The sequence below is a fragment of the Homo sapiens genome, chromosome 7 (assembly GCF_000001405.40).
Source record: "Homo sapiens chromosome 7, GRCh38.p14 Primary Assembly".
NCBI classification, from domain to species: Eukaryota; Metazoa; Chordata; class Mammalia; order Primates; family Hominidae; genus Homo; species Homo sapiens.
This window is the reverse complement of record NC_000007.14, coordinates 152,121,030-152,137,915: the sequence shown is the minus strand read 5'-3', so window position 1 is coordinate 152,137,915 and position 16,886 is coordinate 152,121,030. Positions and strand designations below refer to the sequence as shown.

Here is a 16,886-nt window from a genome sequence, read left to right as displayed (position 1 = left end):
GATCCGACTAGACCCAAGGCCCGTTATACATCTCAAAGTAACGTGTAAATAAGACAGTGTGTGGGAGCCCTGGCACAGTGCCAGTAACCAATGGCTACCATGGTGGTCAGAAGAGACTCAGCCCAGGGCCACCTGCCTCCTTCCTACTTGAGTATTCTTGAGTAAATAGTTTAATATGAGCCCCTATTTTATCTTCTGCAAGATAGAGAAAATGACTTCCTTACCAGGCTCTTGGAAGGACTCAGCAGATACCTGAAAGAAAGCAGTGGAATCATTGCCAAGAACAGCTGCTCAATAAACACTGGTTTCCTTCCTTTCTGTGTAGAAGGTCTTTCCAGCTAGCGTCTAGAATCATTTCACTCAGAAGAGACCTAGAAATTCCTGGGCCTCCCCTTCATTTTGCAGCATCGGCTCTCTCTGGGGTGGTGGGGGTTGCAGGGCCGCGCACTGAGGCTTGTACCGTGGGACTCACGCAGACTCCCACCTACCTTGATTGGTCTGAGATGTTAATTTGGTGACCTCTAAATAGAAAGACATCCTTTCAGTCTTGAGTGAGGAAAAATGAAGGAGGGAAAACAGAGTTAGCTGGCAGTTCATCTCACCCAGAATTGCATGCCCCATTCAGTAAATCAGGGGAGGTGAAAGGCTTCTGGGTTTTAGGGAGAGGGCTAGGAAAGCAGTTGCCCTTCCAGTCCCCTCCATCCACTTGCAGGGACAGCATTATGAGAAGTCACAGAAATACAGCTTTCTCTGGTCAGGCTCCCGTTCTCAGATCTCGCTGTTTAAAAATACTGCCTCCCTCATTTCCTCTGTGCAAGCACAATGCCTCTTTTCAGGGTTCCCCCAGGGTCCCATGGAACCTCAATAAATCAGGTCTTCCTTAATTTACGTCTGTTTCGTTTGCTGGTTTTAAAATGCAAGGGAGATGGAGGCAGAAACGCTATTGCCTTCCTTGCTGTCCTTTCTTACCCTGTGTCTTTGCCGTGGGCAGCTCTGCTATGACTATAAGTTTGACTTTGAAGATGACCAGCACAAGATTCCGTGTCACTGTGGAGCTGTGAACTGCCGGAAGTGGATGAACTGAAATGCATTCCTTGCTAGCTCAGCGGGCGGCTTGTCCCTAGGAAGAGGCGATTCAACACACCATTGGAATTTTGCAGACAGAAAGAGATTTTTGTTTTCTGTTTTATGACTTTTTGAAAAAGCTTCTGGGAGTTCTGATTTCCTCAGTCCTTTAGGTTAAAGCAGCGCCAGGAGGAAGCTGACAGAAGCAGCGTTCCTGAAGTGGCCGAGGTTAAACGGAATCACAGAATGGTCCAGCACTTTTGCTTTTTTTTCTTTTCCTTTTCTTTTTTTTTTGTTTGTTTTTTGTTTTGTTTTTCCCTTGTGGGTGGGTTTCATTGTTTTGGTTTTCTAGTCTCACTAAGGAGAAACTTTTACTGGGGCAAAGAGCCGATGGCTGCCCTGCCCCGGGCAGGGGCCTTCCTATGAATGTAAGACTGAAATCACCAGCGAGGGGGACAGAGAGTGCTGGCCACGGCCTTATTAAAAAGGGGCAGGCCCTCTAACTTCAAAATGTTTTTAAATAAAGTAGACACCACTGAACAAGGAATGTACTGAAATGACTTCCTTAGGGATAGAGCTAAGGGATAATAACTTGCACTAAATACATTTAAATACTTGATTCCATGAGTCAGTTTATTGTAGTTTTTGATTTCTGTAAAATAAGAGAAACTTTTGTATTTATTATTGAATAAGTGAATGAAGCTATTTTTAAATAAAGTTAGAAGAAAGCCAAGCTGCTGCTGTTACCTGCAGAACTAACAAACCCTGTTACTTTGTACAGATATGTAAATATTTTGAGAAAAAATACAGTATAAAAATAGTTATTGACCAAATGCTACCAGGCTCTGCAGCAGCTCGGGGGCTTATAAAATGTTCATAGGGATGTTACAATATAATTTTGTGTTATAAAATATGCCATTATAATTATGTAATAACCAAAATTTCAACCTAGAGTGTTGGGGGTTTTTTGGAAACCGCAGTCTATTAGTACTCAATGGTTTTATACACCTTACTTCTGACAGAGCGGGGCGTATGCTACGACTACAACTTTTATAGCTGTTTTGGTAATTTAAACTAATTTTTTCATATTATATTGTTGCATCCCTACTTCTTCAGTCAGGTTTTTTTGTGCTTACAATTTGTGATAACTGTGAATAACTGCTTAAAAATACACCCAAATGGAGGCTGAATTTTTTCTTCAGCAAAAGTAGTTTTGATTAGAACTTTGTTTCAGCCACAGAGAATCATGTAAACGTAATAGGATCATGTAGCAGAAACTTAAATCTAACCCTTTAGCCTTCTATTTAACACAAAAATTTGAAAAAGTTAAAAAAAAAAAGGAGATGTGATTATGCTTACAGCTGCAGGACTCTGGCAATAGGGTTTTTGGAAGATGTAATTTTAAAATGTGTTTGTATGAACTGTTTGTTTACATTTCTTTAATAAAAAAAACACTGTTTTGTGTTTGCTTGTAGAAACTTAATCAGCATTTTGAACCAGGTTAGCTTTTTATTTTGTACTTAAAATTCTGGTACTGACACTTCACAGGCTAAGTATAAAATGAAGTTTTGTGTGCACAATTCAAGTGGACTGTAAACTGTTGGTATATTCAGTGATGCAGTTCTGAACTTGTATATGGCATGATGTATTTTTATCTTACAGAATAAATCAATTGTATATATTTTTCTCTTGATAAATAGCTGTATGAAATTTGTTTCCTGAATATTTTTCTTCTCTTGTACAATATCCTGACATCCTACCAGTATTTGTCCTACCGGGTTTTTGTTGTTTTCTGTTCTGTATAATAGTATCTAATGTTGGCAAAAATTGAATTTTTTGAAGTATACAGAGTGTTATGGGTTTTGGAATTTGTGGACACAGATTTAGAAGATCACCATTTACAAATAAAATATTTTACATCTATAAGAGCTGCCTAGAGCTTCTGTGTTAACTCCTCATATTCAAATTTGAGCTCTTAAATTGAGGATTGTCTGAAGTTCACTGACCATCTGATAGATCTTTCACAATTAGAGTGTTGATGCGATCAACTTGGTTTTCTTAGATTTTCAAATAAGTTTAGATGTAAATTCATAATTCATTCTAATTATGATACTTTTTCCTTCCCTTCGACTGAATAAAGAAGGGAACTTCTGTATCTTTTTAGGGTGTTTACCAAATTTAGAATATCCTTGGTGCCTTGTTCAAAGCCTGTTTTTGTTTAATTGGTAAATTTAGTCTTGGTTATGTTGCTGTTTTTTTTTTTTTTTTTTTTTTTTTGAGGCAGCTTTTCAGACTTTATTCTATGTGGTAGACTTTCTTTCTATCTTATTGAATTATTTAACGTATTAAATATAAAGGGGTTAAGAAAAAAACTGCTCAGAATCCCCTTTAGTTTCTAGGACAGATTTTTAACTGGGACTTCGCTAACACTAAAATAGCCAGCATTCCTAGTCCACCATGGAGCTTGCCTTCTAGTGAGGGGCACGGACAAAAACAGGTGACTTTTTTAGATGGGAGGTGGGCTGGGAGTCCCGTGGGGGCATTCTAAGGAGGCAGCATTTAAGCAAGACCTGAAGGATGAAGAGGAGCTGGGAGCGTGGCAGAGGCTTGCCTGGCAGAGGGGACAACTCATACAGGAGCCTTGAGATCTGAAAGAGGCTGATGCTGCCAGTAACTGAAAGGCAGGTGTGGCTGGGACAGAGTGGCAGGAGGTGAGATGAGAGAAAAGCAAGGGTGAGTGGCGCAGGTTTAGCTCGCGTGGGTCAGCAGGAAGCTGCTGCCGGACGGTGCTGAGTTCCCACTGTGCATAGAGGTGACACGCTGCCCAGAAGAGGTGGCCCGCCTGTGGGCACCAGCGTGTGTACACTGAGGCTGAGTGGGCTCCGTACGAGTCCCAGGAGGAGCAAGGGGTGCCCTGGGCTAGGCGGATGGTCGTGACATGGAGGGAGCTGGCAGCAGCTGAGGTGTTTTGCATGTAGATGGCTCAAACATTTCCCATTTCAAAACCGCCTTGTCTCAAGTCTCTCCTCAGCTTCTCCTATCCTCCTTTGGCCCCATGTCACGTGGAGGCTGCACTGCCCTCTGTCCTAGTCACCAAACAGAAACAAACACACTTAGTCTGATGTGGTGTCCGATGCGGTAGATGATCATCTGGCCATTAGGGTTTCCTGTCTCTGGTGGCGGTGGCAGCCGCTGTCTCTGAAATTCTCTCCAGCCCCTGCTTGTGGAGCAGAACCCTTTCCTGGCTTTCTTCCCACATTGCTGCTTTAATCTTTTCCCTCTAAGGTCTCTACCCCATTCTTTTTTCATCATTAAGGTATGTATTTAATAGTAATCTGAAAAACAGCCTTCGGGAGGCCAAGGCGGGAGCCTCACTTGAACAGGAGTTCAAGACCAGCCTAGGCAACATAGTAAGACCCATCTCTACAAAAAATCAAAACATTAGCCAGGTGAGGTTGTGCGCACCTGTAGTCCCAGCTACTTGGGAGGCTGAGGCAGGAGGATCACTTGAGCCTGGGAAGTCCAGGCTGCAAGGAGCTGAGATTGTACCACTGCACTCCAACCTGGGTGACAGAGCAAGTTCTTGCCTCAATTAAAAGAATAATAACGGAAGCCAGCTCTTCCAGGAAACCATAGCTATGCAGTAATTCATGGCTTCTATGATACTAGTGCATTTTTTATTAGGCTCGGACAGAAACACCACAACTGTCCCACTTCAAATGCCCAGGAACAATGTAGACAAATTCCAAAGAATGGGTTGTTTGCTGTGAACACCATGGAAAGAAAAAAGGCACAGAGTCTGACTTTATCTTTTGGCCCTGAGCCTAGGGCCATCCTGCCCTATTGTAATAGGAAAGGACAGTCTCAACAGCAGAGTCACCAGCACTCCCTCAGCTTCACAGCAATGCAGTAAAGCCCCCGGTGGCCTGTTCCCTGGGGCGCATTGTCACATACACTGGCAGAAGCTTTGAAATGAGAAGTGCTACATTTAAAACATTAAAAATTTAAATATTTCAGTTACGACCATGTAACGAGAGAGACTTAAGGTTCCAAGAGGCAGAATCATGATGTTTTTAACTGTGCTTACTAGACTTAAATGTGTTCCTAGATAAGGCGGCCTCAGCACTTCCATCAGGTTTCCAGCTATGCCTGGGAGGACTCCCGCTCCCATCACCTTCTGGCAGAGTTGAAGAATCCTTTCCCAAATATCTAAAGAAATTGGGTAAATATCAGCAAAGCAAGGTTCTTCTCGTGGGGAGGTGAGTAGACCGACGGTGCCCGTTTGCACAATGTGCTCCGTGCTCCAGCTCAGTGCCCAGCGCCACTCTGAAGTCTCGTTTTCTTCCTGCCGTGCCGTTGACAGCACAGCTTTATGTGTAGTTCCTGGAGGCTCCTTCAAGCGTTCAGGACCTTCTAAAATGGAAGCCATGTTCTACTTGCTAGGAGGGTCAGCTGTCTGCTCATCCCCCGTCAGCCACAGCCTTACTCCAGGTCTCTGGGAATCTTGCATCCCGGCCCTGCTTGCTCCTGTGTCCTCAGACCCCATGGTGGGTCCATCGAGCCCTTCAGGGGCCGAGATCTCAGTGGGACCCTGTCTCTGGTGCCAGGGTTTTGCCTGTGACGTGTCCCAGCTGGTACTACAGACTCTCCATCCACTTTGTCCTGAGGATGCTCCAGCATCCGTCCCGGGGCCAGCGCCCTCGTTGCCTAGAGCAGGCCTGCTTGCGGCTCCCTGTGCAGTTTCTGATGCTCTGTTCCTGCAAGGGTTCTCGTTTTTGAAGACACTACTCCTGGGTCCCAGAAATTCTTTTAACCTAGTTTTTATCCTAACCACAGAAATGTTAAAAGTATTCCTTCTTCCTTGATGGCAACCTTACGAAACTTTGCTTCCTGAAGAACAAGTCGATGCAGGCGGAGCACACGAGGTGTATGACTTCTCAGCGGAGGCCCCACTCATAGGTGACCCCTCCTCCTCCCACTACCCTCCCTCACTCCAGCCCTGCTATTCCCACTGCTGCCAACTCCACAGCCTCAACTTTGTGTGTACGTTTTAAATACTAGCACCCCCCACACTTTTCTCAACTCTTCTCATCCTCTGCTCTCGCCACGCTGACTTCGGCCAAACCTACAACGTAACCCAACATGGTGGGAACAGCGTTCCAGACGCCTCTCTTCTGAGCTCTAGACCCCTGGCACGACCCTGCAGCCTGCCCACTCGGCCCGCAGAAGCTCCACTGCAGAGACTTCATCCTTTTTCTCTTCCCCAGAACCATTCCACCAATATCTCCTCACTCGGAATGGCAGCTACCCGCTCCCAGGCGCCCACACCAGAGCCCCGCGCCATCCTCACGCTCTGCAGCCTGCCCGGCTCAGGGCTTCAATCCAGCAGCCCCAGCCAGGAAGACGCTTCGCTTTCAGAACAGAACGACCTGCTATTCCCTGACCTTGAAATGCATGCGCCTGCCTCGATGCTTCCTAACTGCTGTGCGTTCCGCCGGGACCTCGTCCATCCCAAGGCCGCCTGGCCTGCTCCAGGAAGTTCTCCCGCCCTCTTGCCCGCTGTGGGAGTGCGCAGCCCCGTTCTGTGTTTTCTTGGTACGTGAGTCTATCAGAGCATTTCTCACTTTCATTTCTAAGCTTTCCTTTCACCTGAAGGTGGGAACTTTAGCTTGCAACTATTTCTCCAGCACAAAAGGGAGGGAGGACGGGCAGAATGCAGAGTGCCAGGTGGTCACCTCCCTCCCCGCAATCCCCCCTGCTCTGCTGGGTCCAGAGGGCTGACCCTTCTGGTCTCCTGGCTCTTGCTTCATTTCAGCCAGTGGGAGCTGTGGGGGGAGGCCGGGAGGCAGGACAAGGGACCTGGGTGTTTCTGCTCCTGCTGTCTGGTGGTGGAGCGGCTGCCTGTGTCTAGGCCTACGGCTCCGGACGCTGCTTCTCACCCTTCGGGCTCAGAGGTGGCCGTGCCCCTGAGGCTGCCAACACCGTCATAGTCCCTTCCCTCACAGCTCTTCAAGAAGCCAGAGATGCGCGCCTTCTCATTTCCCTGCGGACCCCCACTCAGACAGGAAGGAAGGATTTTTGGAAACACATACTCTTGATAGCGTAAGTTAATATACTATGTAAAAAATAATGTTATTTGATTAAAACATCCATATTTATAAAGAAAAAACGGGGAAGGAGGACAAAAAGGAAACTGAAAGATGTTTAGGGAGTTTACAATTTTTTCTTGTCAATTTTATGGAGAACATTTTCAGATCTCTAAAGTGAATTACTTTATATTCATATTAATGATATAGTATTTGGGAGCACTTTGGGATTACTTTTAGGAAAGTGGCAGAAATAATACAGAGAGTTCCCATACACTCCTCATCCCGTTTGCCTGATGTTAACTGTGGTGCATTTGTCAAAACTAAGGAATGAACATTGGTCCGTTGCTGTTAACTAACCTGCAGGCTACTTAGGTTTTACCGGGTTTTCCAATGATGTCCTTTTTCTGTTCCAGGACGCGGCTCAGGCACCACGTGGTGCTTGGTCCTCACGTCCTCTTAGCCTCTTCTGGGACACTAGTAATCTGGTAGTTTCTCAGATTTGCCTTATTTTTAGTAACCTTGACCAGTTCTGATTTGACAGTTTCAATCCTCATTATCTTCAAGTTTTCCTGTAATTTTTCTTTTTCTTTTTCTTTTTTTTTTTTTTTTTTAGCACATTGAGCCTATGTGTCAAAGCCGTTTTCAACACCGGCGTGTGCTGATTCCATCCTTTCATTGCTAGGCCTGTTCGTTTTTATTTAAGACTTTTATTAACAGGTGCTTGCAGTTTGTTACTTTTTTGAAAAAATCAAGTTGTAAACTTTTATGACAAATTAAAAATGAAGTTCTTAAAAATCTCAACTTGAGCAGATATGAAATAATTTTAAAACCTTTAAAGGCGTATTGAGAAAAACCAGGCTTTTTAAAAAAACACTTTGTTATTACCAAAAAGAGACGTCTTTAGGTAAAAATAATTGGAAACCCCATGCCCCACAGATAATGCAGCTAGTTCTAGTTATCTGGTCAGTGGACGAAAAGCAAGCACTTAGGGTCTTCAGCTCCAATTTTCGTTCATTTCTTATCGCTGGAATTTCCTAGTTCTTGTTTGATGACTAAACGGGGTGATGGTAGAGGTAGCAGCCGCATTTGCCCAGCCTGGAGCGAGGAATTCTCAGCTGGTGGATCAGCTGCTTCTGTGTCTTTGCCATCTTGTGGTTTAGGGTTTTCTGTGCGACCGCGTCGGTAATCGAAGTTGCGGCGGCCCCGGTGCTGAGGTGGCTGGTGACCTTGGGTCTCATCTCCCGGATTGTCTTTATCCTCTTCCTCGCTGTCCTCTACAGGCCGTCTTGGGTGAGGTGGGTCCTGCGGAATCGTGGTCTGCGTCCCCGGTACACTCGCTGCCCCGCTGGTGTCCCCGCTCCCCGCGCTGTCACCCCCGCATCGCTGCTCCCGGCCGCCCCGGAGGCTGGAGAACTGCGGCCTCCATGGAGGAAAGTGGGACTCTGCGGTGGGGCCCGCGTGGTGGGCCTGGCCCGCGGCAGCGCTGTCTCATCCCTCCTTCCGTTCCCCACGGAGGATTCTGGTGATTCTGCCGGTGACGGCGGGGAGGTCCCGCGTCTGCAGTGGTTACGGTGGCCGCAGGTTTACTGCCTTGACCTGGGCCCCACCAGGCCCTGGAACACTTGCCGCCGCCTCGCCCTTTTCTCCCTCAACATCGGACTCCGCGGCCTCCGCAGCTCCCCCGCCGCCAGGGTCCTCCCCGGGGTTCTCCTTCACGGCAGTCTGATGAACACACATCTTCCTTGGTGACGTTCCTGTTGATGAAACCGTATCTGTTGCTTACCCTGAACCATTTGTTCCCCAAACGGCGGGGGTGACGGTGCCTGGGCTCCTCCCGGGCTGTGGTGGCAACTAGGCCACAGCGGCGGTGGGGCTGCCCAGGGCTCTCTGGGACCCGCTCCCCGCTCCCCGCTCCCGATCGAACTCTCTAGGCCTGTTTAAATCACCTTTTTCTCCCGGTGACGGTTATATATATTTTTTAGACGGAGTCTCGCTCTGTCGCCCAGGCCGGAGTGCACTGGCGCGGTCTCGGCTCGCTGCAAGCTCCGCCTCCCGGGTTCGAGCGATTCTCCCGCCTCAGCCTCCCGAGCAGCTGGGACCGCAGGCGTGTGCTACCGCGCCCGGCTAAGTTTTTCTATTTTTAGTAGAGACGGGTTTTCCCCATGTTGGCCAGGCTGCTCTGGAGGCGATCTGCCTGCCTCGGCCTCCCAAAGTGCTGGGAATCCAGGCGTGAGCCACCGCGCCCGGCTGGTTTCCACCTTTGGAAGCTTGTTCTTGAAGCACTTTTCCGACGAGTCTGACAGCGTCTTTACCCTTGGCCGAGTCCAGCCCCACTCCTAAGGCATGGCCCTTCGGGGAATGCCCTGGGCGCCCCGAATACTCAGTGGGGCCTGTTACTTGGCTGGTGGCAGCTTCAGTGATTTCCAGCCCCACCTGATCTTTGGGAGCTGTTCAGTTTAGAGCCTCCCAGCCTCAGGAGTAAGTTTCCACGGGCCGACTGCAACACGGCTAGACTCCAGGCGCCCCTGGGCAGGTTCTGGCCCTTCTCTCTGTTTAGCTCCTTCCTCTCCTTCATCCTCCGATGCGAATTCCAGCCACCTTAGCCTCCCTGGACTCTGGTGTCCATCTCGACCTGCAGGATGATGGGCCTCTTTTTAAGTTCCCCTCCCTATGCCAAAGTCAGAAAACTGTCCTAGGTGGGGAGAGTCTTGGGCTCACCCGTTTCTGGGGCTTTACTGTCCCGCCACTCCCTGGGAGCCACTGGCTGAAGAGGTTCTGCATGTTTTTCTTTCTAGTCTCTAGTTTTTTACTCCAGGAGGACAAGCCCAGATCCTGTTACTCCTTCTTGGCCAGAAGCAGAACTTGTGTTTTTTGTTTAAAATGTTTCCTTCTTGTCAAATTCTACTTTTTTAAAGGCCTTATTATGTCTTTGCCCCCGTGTTCCTCCTTATCTATTCTTAATTTCTCACACTTCTTGAGTTCTGCCACCACATTCTGAGTTTTCAGATTTGCTGTATTTGGTCCTCTCATGTCACTCTCCTCATAACTTAAGCTCATTTTTGAATCAGTATGTTACAGTTTGGGTCGGTTCTGTGAGCATCTCCTTCTGGAGTGCTTTCATTATACAAATGCCATTTAGCTCTCTTTTTCTTCTTATACTTTGTATGGGACTTGGCCTTGATCGTCTTCTGTTGCTCATCTGGTGGGAACTGAGTTTCTCAACATGGAGGAGCGTGGCCCAGACGGCTTTCCCACGCAGGGGAGCATGGTCCAGATGGCTTTCCCACGTGGGGCAGCCTGGCTCAGACGGCTTTCCCACGCAGGGGAGCATGGTCCAGACGGCTTTCCCACACCGGGGAGCGTGGCCCAGACGGCTTTCCCACGCTGGGGAGCCTGGTCCAGACGGCTTTCCCACACCGGGGAGCGTGGCCCAGACGGCTTTCCCACACGGGCAGCCTGGCTCAGACGGCTTTCCCAGCCTCGCAGAGCTCCCTCTTCTGTTTTCCTGCACTGCTAAAGCTATGGTCACTCCTTCTGCCAATGCTTGGCTTCACTTCCCTCTACTTCTCCAAGCTGTGTCCTTTTTCTTTATTCTTATTCACTTACTACTGTTTCTCTATTATCCCTGTCTTGCTCAATTTTGATTCCACTCCCTGGCAGTTTCATCAGTTCAAAGGAACTAGAAGTCTTCATCCCCTAAGCCCTCCCTCCCCCAGGGACCCCTGCCGCTGCCTAGTGCTGGAGAGGCAGACGCCCCCGCAGTGTTTGCTGCACTGATTCCTCGGTTTCCTGCGGCCACCATTGCCTTTCCATGTCCTCCGCTCCTCAACACACCGTCTGCCTGGAGCTTGCCTGGCTTTCTGCCACACAGGTCTCAGGCATCCAGCTCCTCCTACCTGCTTTAGAGAATTTGCAGCTACCTTGCCACCTACCTACTTTGAAAATACCATCCATGGGTTTTGGGTTTGCCTCTCTAGTTGCTTTAATTTTATGTGGATGTTGACTAGGCAAAATCTGAAAGCTGTGTTGCAACCTTTCCTGCAATTTCCTGAGAAGCCCCCATGTGGGTCTGTTTTATTTCAGCCATTTTAATGGATGTAAAGTGGCATCTGAATGTCGTTTTAATTTGCATTTCTTTGATGACCATGATACTGAACACCTTTTCATATATTGAGCTATTTATACTTTGGTGACATATCCAAATATTTTGTCCATTTTGAAAATTGGGTTGTCTTTTTAGTACTGAATTTTAAACACAAACCCTTGAATACAGTTGTGGCTTTTTTCATTTTCTCAATGGTGTCTTGATAAACAGAAGTTTAATTCTGAAGTTCAATTTGTTAATATTTTATGGCTAGTTCTTTTAAAAAAAAAAAAGTTTTATTAAAGACAGGATCTCACTATGTTGCCCAGGCTGGTCTCTAACTCCTGAGCTCAAGCAATCCTCCCACACTGGCCTCCCAAAGTGTTGGGATTACAGGCATGAGCCACCTGTGCCTGGCCTTTATCTTTTTCAAATAGAGACGGGTTCTCACTATGTTGACCAGGCTGGTCTGGAAACTTCTGGCTTCAAGCGATCCTCCTGCCTTGGCCTCCCAAAGTACTGGGATTGCAGGCATGATCCACCAGGCCTGGCCAATGGCTGGCTCTTTAATGAGTGCTTAGGGAATCTTTGCCTACCCTAAAGTCATGAAGATATTCTCCTACATTTTCTTCTAAAAGCTTTGTAATTTTAGTTTTTATGTTTAGATCTTAAAATAATGTTTATTTGTGGTATAAGGTAGTGGCAGGGGTGTCACAGGTAATTTCTGTCCACAGGGATATCAGATTCTTGCAGCACCATGTGTTATAGTAATTTTCCCCTCCCCACTGCATTGTATTGGCTCCTTTGCTGCAAATCAATTGGCCATATATGTGTGGGTCTATTTCTCTTCCACCAATCAATTCATTATCCGTAAGTCCACAGCATAGTAAGTCGAATTAGTGTAAATCCTCCAACTTTATTTCTTTCAAATTATTTTGGCCACTCTTAGTCCTATGCATTTCCATATCAATTTTAAAATTAAATTATCAGTTTCCACAAAAAGCGTACTGGGATTTTGATTAAAAGTAGCATTAAATCCATAGATCAAATTGTGGAGAATTAACATCTTATTAACACTGAGCCTTCCAATCAGGAATGTAGTATAATTCTCTATTTAATCTTAATTTTTCTCAGCAATGTTTTCTACTTTTCATCATACAACTCTTACACATATTTTGTCATATGTACCCTAAATTCTTATATTTTGGATACTATTGTAAACTGCAATCACAATACCATGAACTTCAGTTTTGAGCTGTTTGTTGCCAATATGAAGTATTCATTTTTATATTGATTTTTTTGTGGTCCTGATAAATAGTAGTTTTGAAGACGTCCTATGATTTTCTGCATTACTTGATCATAGTCTGCAAATAAATACACTTTTACTTATTCCTTCCTAATGTACATGGCTTTCTTTTTCTTGCTGTATTGCGCTGGCTAGGAGAGGTGAGAACAGGTGTCTTTGCCTTGTTGCCTATCATCTTTCACACTGTATGAGGCTAGCTATAGTACCTCCATAGATGCACTGTATGAAGTTGAGGAATTTTCTTTCCATTCCTAGTTTGCTGAGTTTTTATCATAAGTGGGTGTTGAATTCTGTCAATTTTTTTTCTACATTTTTTTCCTGCAAGGTTGCGTATGCCTTTCCCCCTGTATTACTAACAAACACTGTAAATTATCGTAATCAAATCTCTAATGTTAAACCATCTTTGCATTCCTGGGCAAAAACCAAATTGTTCATAATGTATCACCCTTTTTATATGTTGCTGGATTTGATTTGCTAATTTTTGTAAGGAAATTTTTCTATATTCATGTAGGATATAAAAATCGTCTGTGCTCTACCTGCTCATCCCTCCCTCCCTGTGTTAGCTGGGTTCTCCAGAAAAACAGAACCAATAGGATGTATAGAAATACAGAAAGATTATGAGGGACTGAGATACTCTATGATTTACTGCCTGCAAGGTGGAAGCCCAGGAAAGGCAGTGATGTTGTTCCAGCCCAAGGCTGAAGGCTGAGGCCCAGGGGAGCCAATGATGCAGGTCCTGGTCTGAGTCCAAAGGCCTGAGAGCCAGAACGCTGACATCTAGCTCCAAGGAGAGAGCAAGTCACCCTTCCTTCACCTTTTTGTTCTATTTGGGCTCCCAATGGATTGAGTGGTGCCCACCCACATTCGTGAGAGAGGATCTTCTTTCCTGAGTCTGCTGATTCAAACACTAATCTCTTCTGGAACCACCCTCACAGACACTCGCAGAAATCATGTCTTACAGCTACCTGGGCATTCTTTAGCTCAGTCAAGTTGACATAAAATCAACCATCACACTCTCCCATAACCCCTAGCAAGCAGTGATCTTTTTGTCTTTGCCTTTTCCAGAATGCCATATAATTGGAATCGTACAATATGTAGCTTTTTCAGATTGGCTTCTTTCACTGAGTAATATATTCTTAACATCCCTCCATGACTTTTCAAGGCTTATGGCTTAATTCTTCTCAGCACTGAATGTTCCATCGTCTGAATGTACTATAGTTCATCCATTCATGCACTAAAGGACATCTTGCTTCCGGGTTTCGGCAGTCCTGAATGAAGCCGCTATAAAACATTCCTGTACTAAAGGACATCTTGCTTGCTTCCAGGTTTCAGCAATCATGAATAAAGCTGCTATAAAACATTCCTGTACTGAAGGATATCTTGCTTCCAGGTTTCGACAGTCATGAATAAAGCTGCTGTAAAATCCATGTGCAGGCTTCGTGTGGTTTTCAGCTCCTTTGGGTAAACACCAAGGAGCACAACTGCTGGATCATAGGTTAAGAGTATGTTTAGGAAGAAACTTGCCAGAGTGGCTGTACCACTTTGCACTCCCACCAGCAGTGAATCAGAGCTCCTGCTGTTCAGCATGCTTTTTAGTATCTGTAGACTCTAGTGCGCTTGCAACTCATTCCTGATGTTGGTAATTTCAGGGTGGTTTTTTTTTTTGTTTGTTTTTTGTTTTTTTTTGGCTAGAGGTTTATCAATTTTATTGATCTCTCAAATCAGCTTTTAGCTTTATTTTCTCTGTTTTGTTTCATTCATTTCTGTTCTGGTATTTAATATTTCATTTCTGCCTCTTTGTCTAACTTGCTCTTTTTCTGTTAAGATGGAAGCTAAAGTCATTGAGACTTGTATCCTTTTCTAATATAGGTGCTTAATGCTATAAAACTTCCAAGTACTGCTTCAGCTGCATGCCACACACTGTTGTATTTTCATTTTTGGTCAGTTCAAAATAGCCTTTTGATTTTTTTCTCTGACCCATAAGGTATTGGGAAGTGTGCTAGTTTTTTATAATATTTGGAGATTTTTCCAAGTGTCTGTTATTGATTTCTATTCTACTTTGCATGACTTGAATTTCTATACGTATATCACACCTTGCTCAATATCCCAGAATATGGTCTATCTTGGTAAATGTTCCAAGTATTGTGTTGCTGGGTAGTGTCAATTAGGCCAAGATGGTTGTTTTTCTGTCTACTTGTTCTATCAATTATTGAGAGGTGTGTTGAAATCTCTTACTACAATTGTGGATGCGTGTACTTCTTGCAATTTTAACAGAACTTTGGGATTATTTCTTCTTGATAAGTTGAACCTTTTATTCATGAAATGACCCTCTATATCATCTGTAGTAATATTCTCTGTGCTGAAATCTACTTTGTCTATCTATTCAGATGTCTTTCATATATCTATCTTCCCATCCTTCTAATTTTAATGTATTCATAAAGTGAGTTTCTTACAGGCAGCATATAGTTGGATCTTGCATTTTTATCTAATCTGCCTTTTAACTGTGGCATTTACATTCATTACACTTAATGTGATTATTGACACTGTTGGATTTCAATCTGCCATCTTGCTGCTCTTGTTTTCCATATGTACCATCCTGGCCTTTGAAGTCAAATGACAGATAAAATATTTAGGATGTGGCAAACTGTTTTGTGGTTCAGATAAAATATCTGAGTGCATCCCCTGCAATATGAGACCATCTCTCCTCTTAAGATGTGGTTTGGGAGGAAACTTCACTTTATATTTCAGAATTTTTAGTATATGCAGGTGATTCCCAAATGTATTCTCTAATTGAGCTACGTCTTCCAAGAGTCTGACCTCTATATCCAACTGCCGGTTGAGCAGCTCTCCCTGGGTGCTGCACAGGCAACTTTGATGTCCAGTATCTAAGGTCACACAGCTCAAGCTAAGAAACTGGGACGCGTCTTGAGAGGCAGAGGACTCTACCGAGCCTACTGGGTCATCACCTGAATCCAAGAGCATGCAACACACCTCAGACCAGAGGCCCCAATACAAGACAAAATATCCTAAATAATCAAAAGGATTCTTTATTATGTAGATTGTATCATAATTCATCAAAATAATTTTATAATTAACTGCCATACTGTCTTATAAATGATGCCTTCTGAAGTTAAACATAATATAGATTCAGTTTTTTAAAATGATCTACTTACAACATACTAAACAAATAATAGAAGTTTTTTTTTTTTTTAAAGCACTATCTCCTATGAAGTCTAAGAAAGGAAATCATGACAAGTTCCTGATCAGATAAAAACCACTGCATCATTAAAGGGGATTAAAAAGAGGCATAAATAAATCTGAATAGAAATATCCATTTTCCTGGGTTTTATCCTTCTGTACAAGCCCAATTCTAGAGTTAAAATGATACTGTGGTTTGCCTCTATAAGCAAGAAATTCCTTAACAGCAGCTCAAACATCACCTTAATGTCCAGGTGAAACATACTCACTTCTTCACCCGTGGACACTCACTTCTTCACCCGTGGACACTCAGAGCTCCCGTCTCTGTCAGACACGTGTCACCTCTGCTAACACACCCAGGCATCTCCGGGAGGACAGGGAACTGTCATCTTCTCCAAGATGGTTCTGCTCCACCCAACCCAGGCTTTCCTAAAGCCCCAAACTCCACACCGGAGGCAACGCCTGATGAAGCAACGTTCCCACCACAGCATCCACCTTAACCTTCCAAATGCCACTGCTGTGAAGAGGAGCCATCGCAGATCGCCATGGCGACAGAGCCCTTCTGACCCAGGGGATCCACTGCTCTCAGGCACTGTCCAACCGACACCTGGTATAGCCGATTGTTTTTCTGAAAAAAAGGTAGCAACAAAAAAATACTGCCAATTACTGGCAAAACATGGAAATCCAGAGGAGAGATGGAGCACTTAAGAATTCAGATTAAGGGATACAATAGTCCCCTCTTAGCCAAAGGTTAGTTTTCTGCTGTTTGTTATCTGCAGCACAATACAATAAGATATTTTCTGACCGCAATCACAATTTGTATTATAGTATACTGATTTGTTTTTATAGAGAAAACAAACAGGCTGTTGGGCTACGGCGATCCGCCCACCTCCGCCTTCTCAGTGCTGGGATTACAGGCGGGAGCCACTGCGCAACCACAGTATGCTGTTCTAACTGTTCCGTTTCATTTCAGTTATTGTTGTGAACCTCTTACTGTGCCTAATTGATAAATTTATCACAGGTGTATCTCTAGAAAGAAATACAGTATATACAGGGTTTGTACTACCTGTGGTTTCTGGGGGGACCACTGTACTGCAGACTGAGAAGACCACCCCCAAGGTAGAAAATGAGTTCATCTGCCACA

The 16,886-nt window shown here is 44.9% G+C and overlaps 2 protein-coding genes, 1 long non-coding RNA gene and 1 pseudogene across 33 annotated transcripts in view; 2 read left to right on the top strand and 2 right to left on the bottom strand.

Annotated features, from left to right (window-relative positions):
- The window catches only part of KMT2C (lysine methyltransferase 2C), a 301,079-nt gene extending 298,088 nt beyond the window's left edge, over window positions 1–2,991 (top strand). The window contains exon 59 of the mRNA NM_170606.3: window positions 992–2,991. Within this exon, the coding sequence (NP_733751.2) occupies window positions 992–1,084 (93 nt within the window). The 3' untranslated portion in view covers window positions 1,085–2,991. The remainder of the gene's footprint in view (window positions 1–991) is intronic.
- Window positions 3,344–16,886, top strand: part of LOC731075 (uncharacterized) — a 33,378-nt gene continuing 19,835 nt past the window's right edge. The window contains exons 1-4 of one of the 3 annotated variants that reach the window (XR_001745431.2): window positions 3,344–6,024; window positions 6,333–6,660; window positions 7,071–7,167; window positions 8,315–15,878. This is a non-coding gene — a long non-coding RNA (uncharacterized LOC731075). Of the gene's footprint in view, window positions 6,661–7,070; window positions 7,168–8,314; window positions 15,879–16,886 lie in introns of those variants that run through there. The other 2 variants (XR_007060598.1, XR_001745432.2) reach the window with 2 other exon arrangements.
- On the bottom strand, window positions 8,260–9,079 carry YBX1P4 (Y-box binding protein 1 pseudogene 4; annotated as a pseudogene).
- GALNT11 (polypeptide N-acetylgalactosaminyltransferase 11) overlaps window positions 15,576–16,886 on the bottom strand; it is a 96,667-nt gene continuing 95,356 nt past the window's right edge. For 28 of the 29 annotated variants that reach the window (NR_163956.1, NR_163959.1, NR_163957.1 and 25 more), the window contains one exon: window positions 15,576–16,370. Coding sequence is in view for 26 of the 29 variants with exons in the window: in NM_001371458.1 (NP_001358387.1) it covers window positions 16,239–16,370 (132 nt within the window). In the remaining 3 variants the exon portion in view is untranslated. Of the gene's footprint in view, window positions 16,399–16,886 lie in introns of all 29 variants that reach the window. The other variant, NM_001371464.1, reaches the window with a different exon arrangement.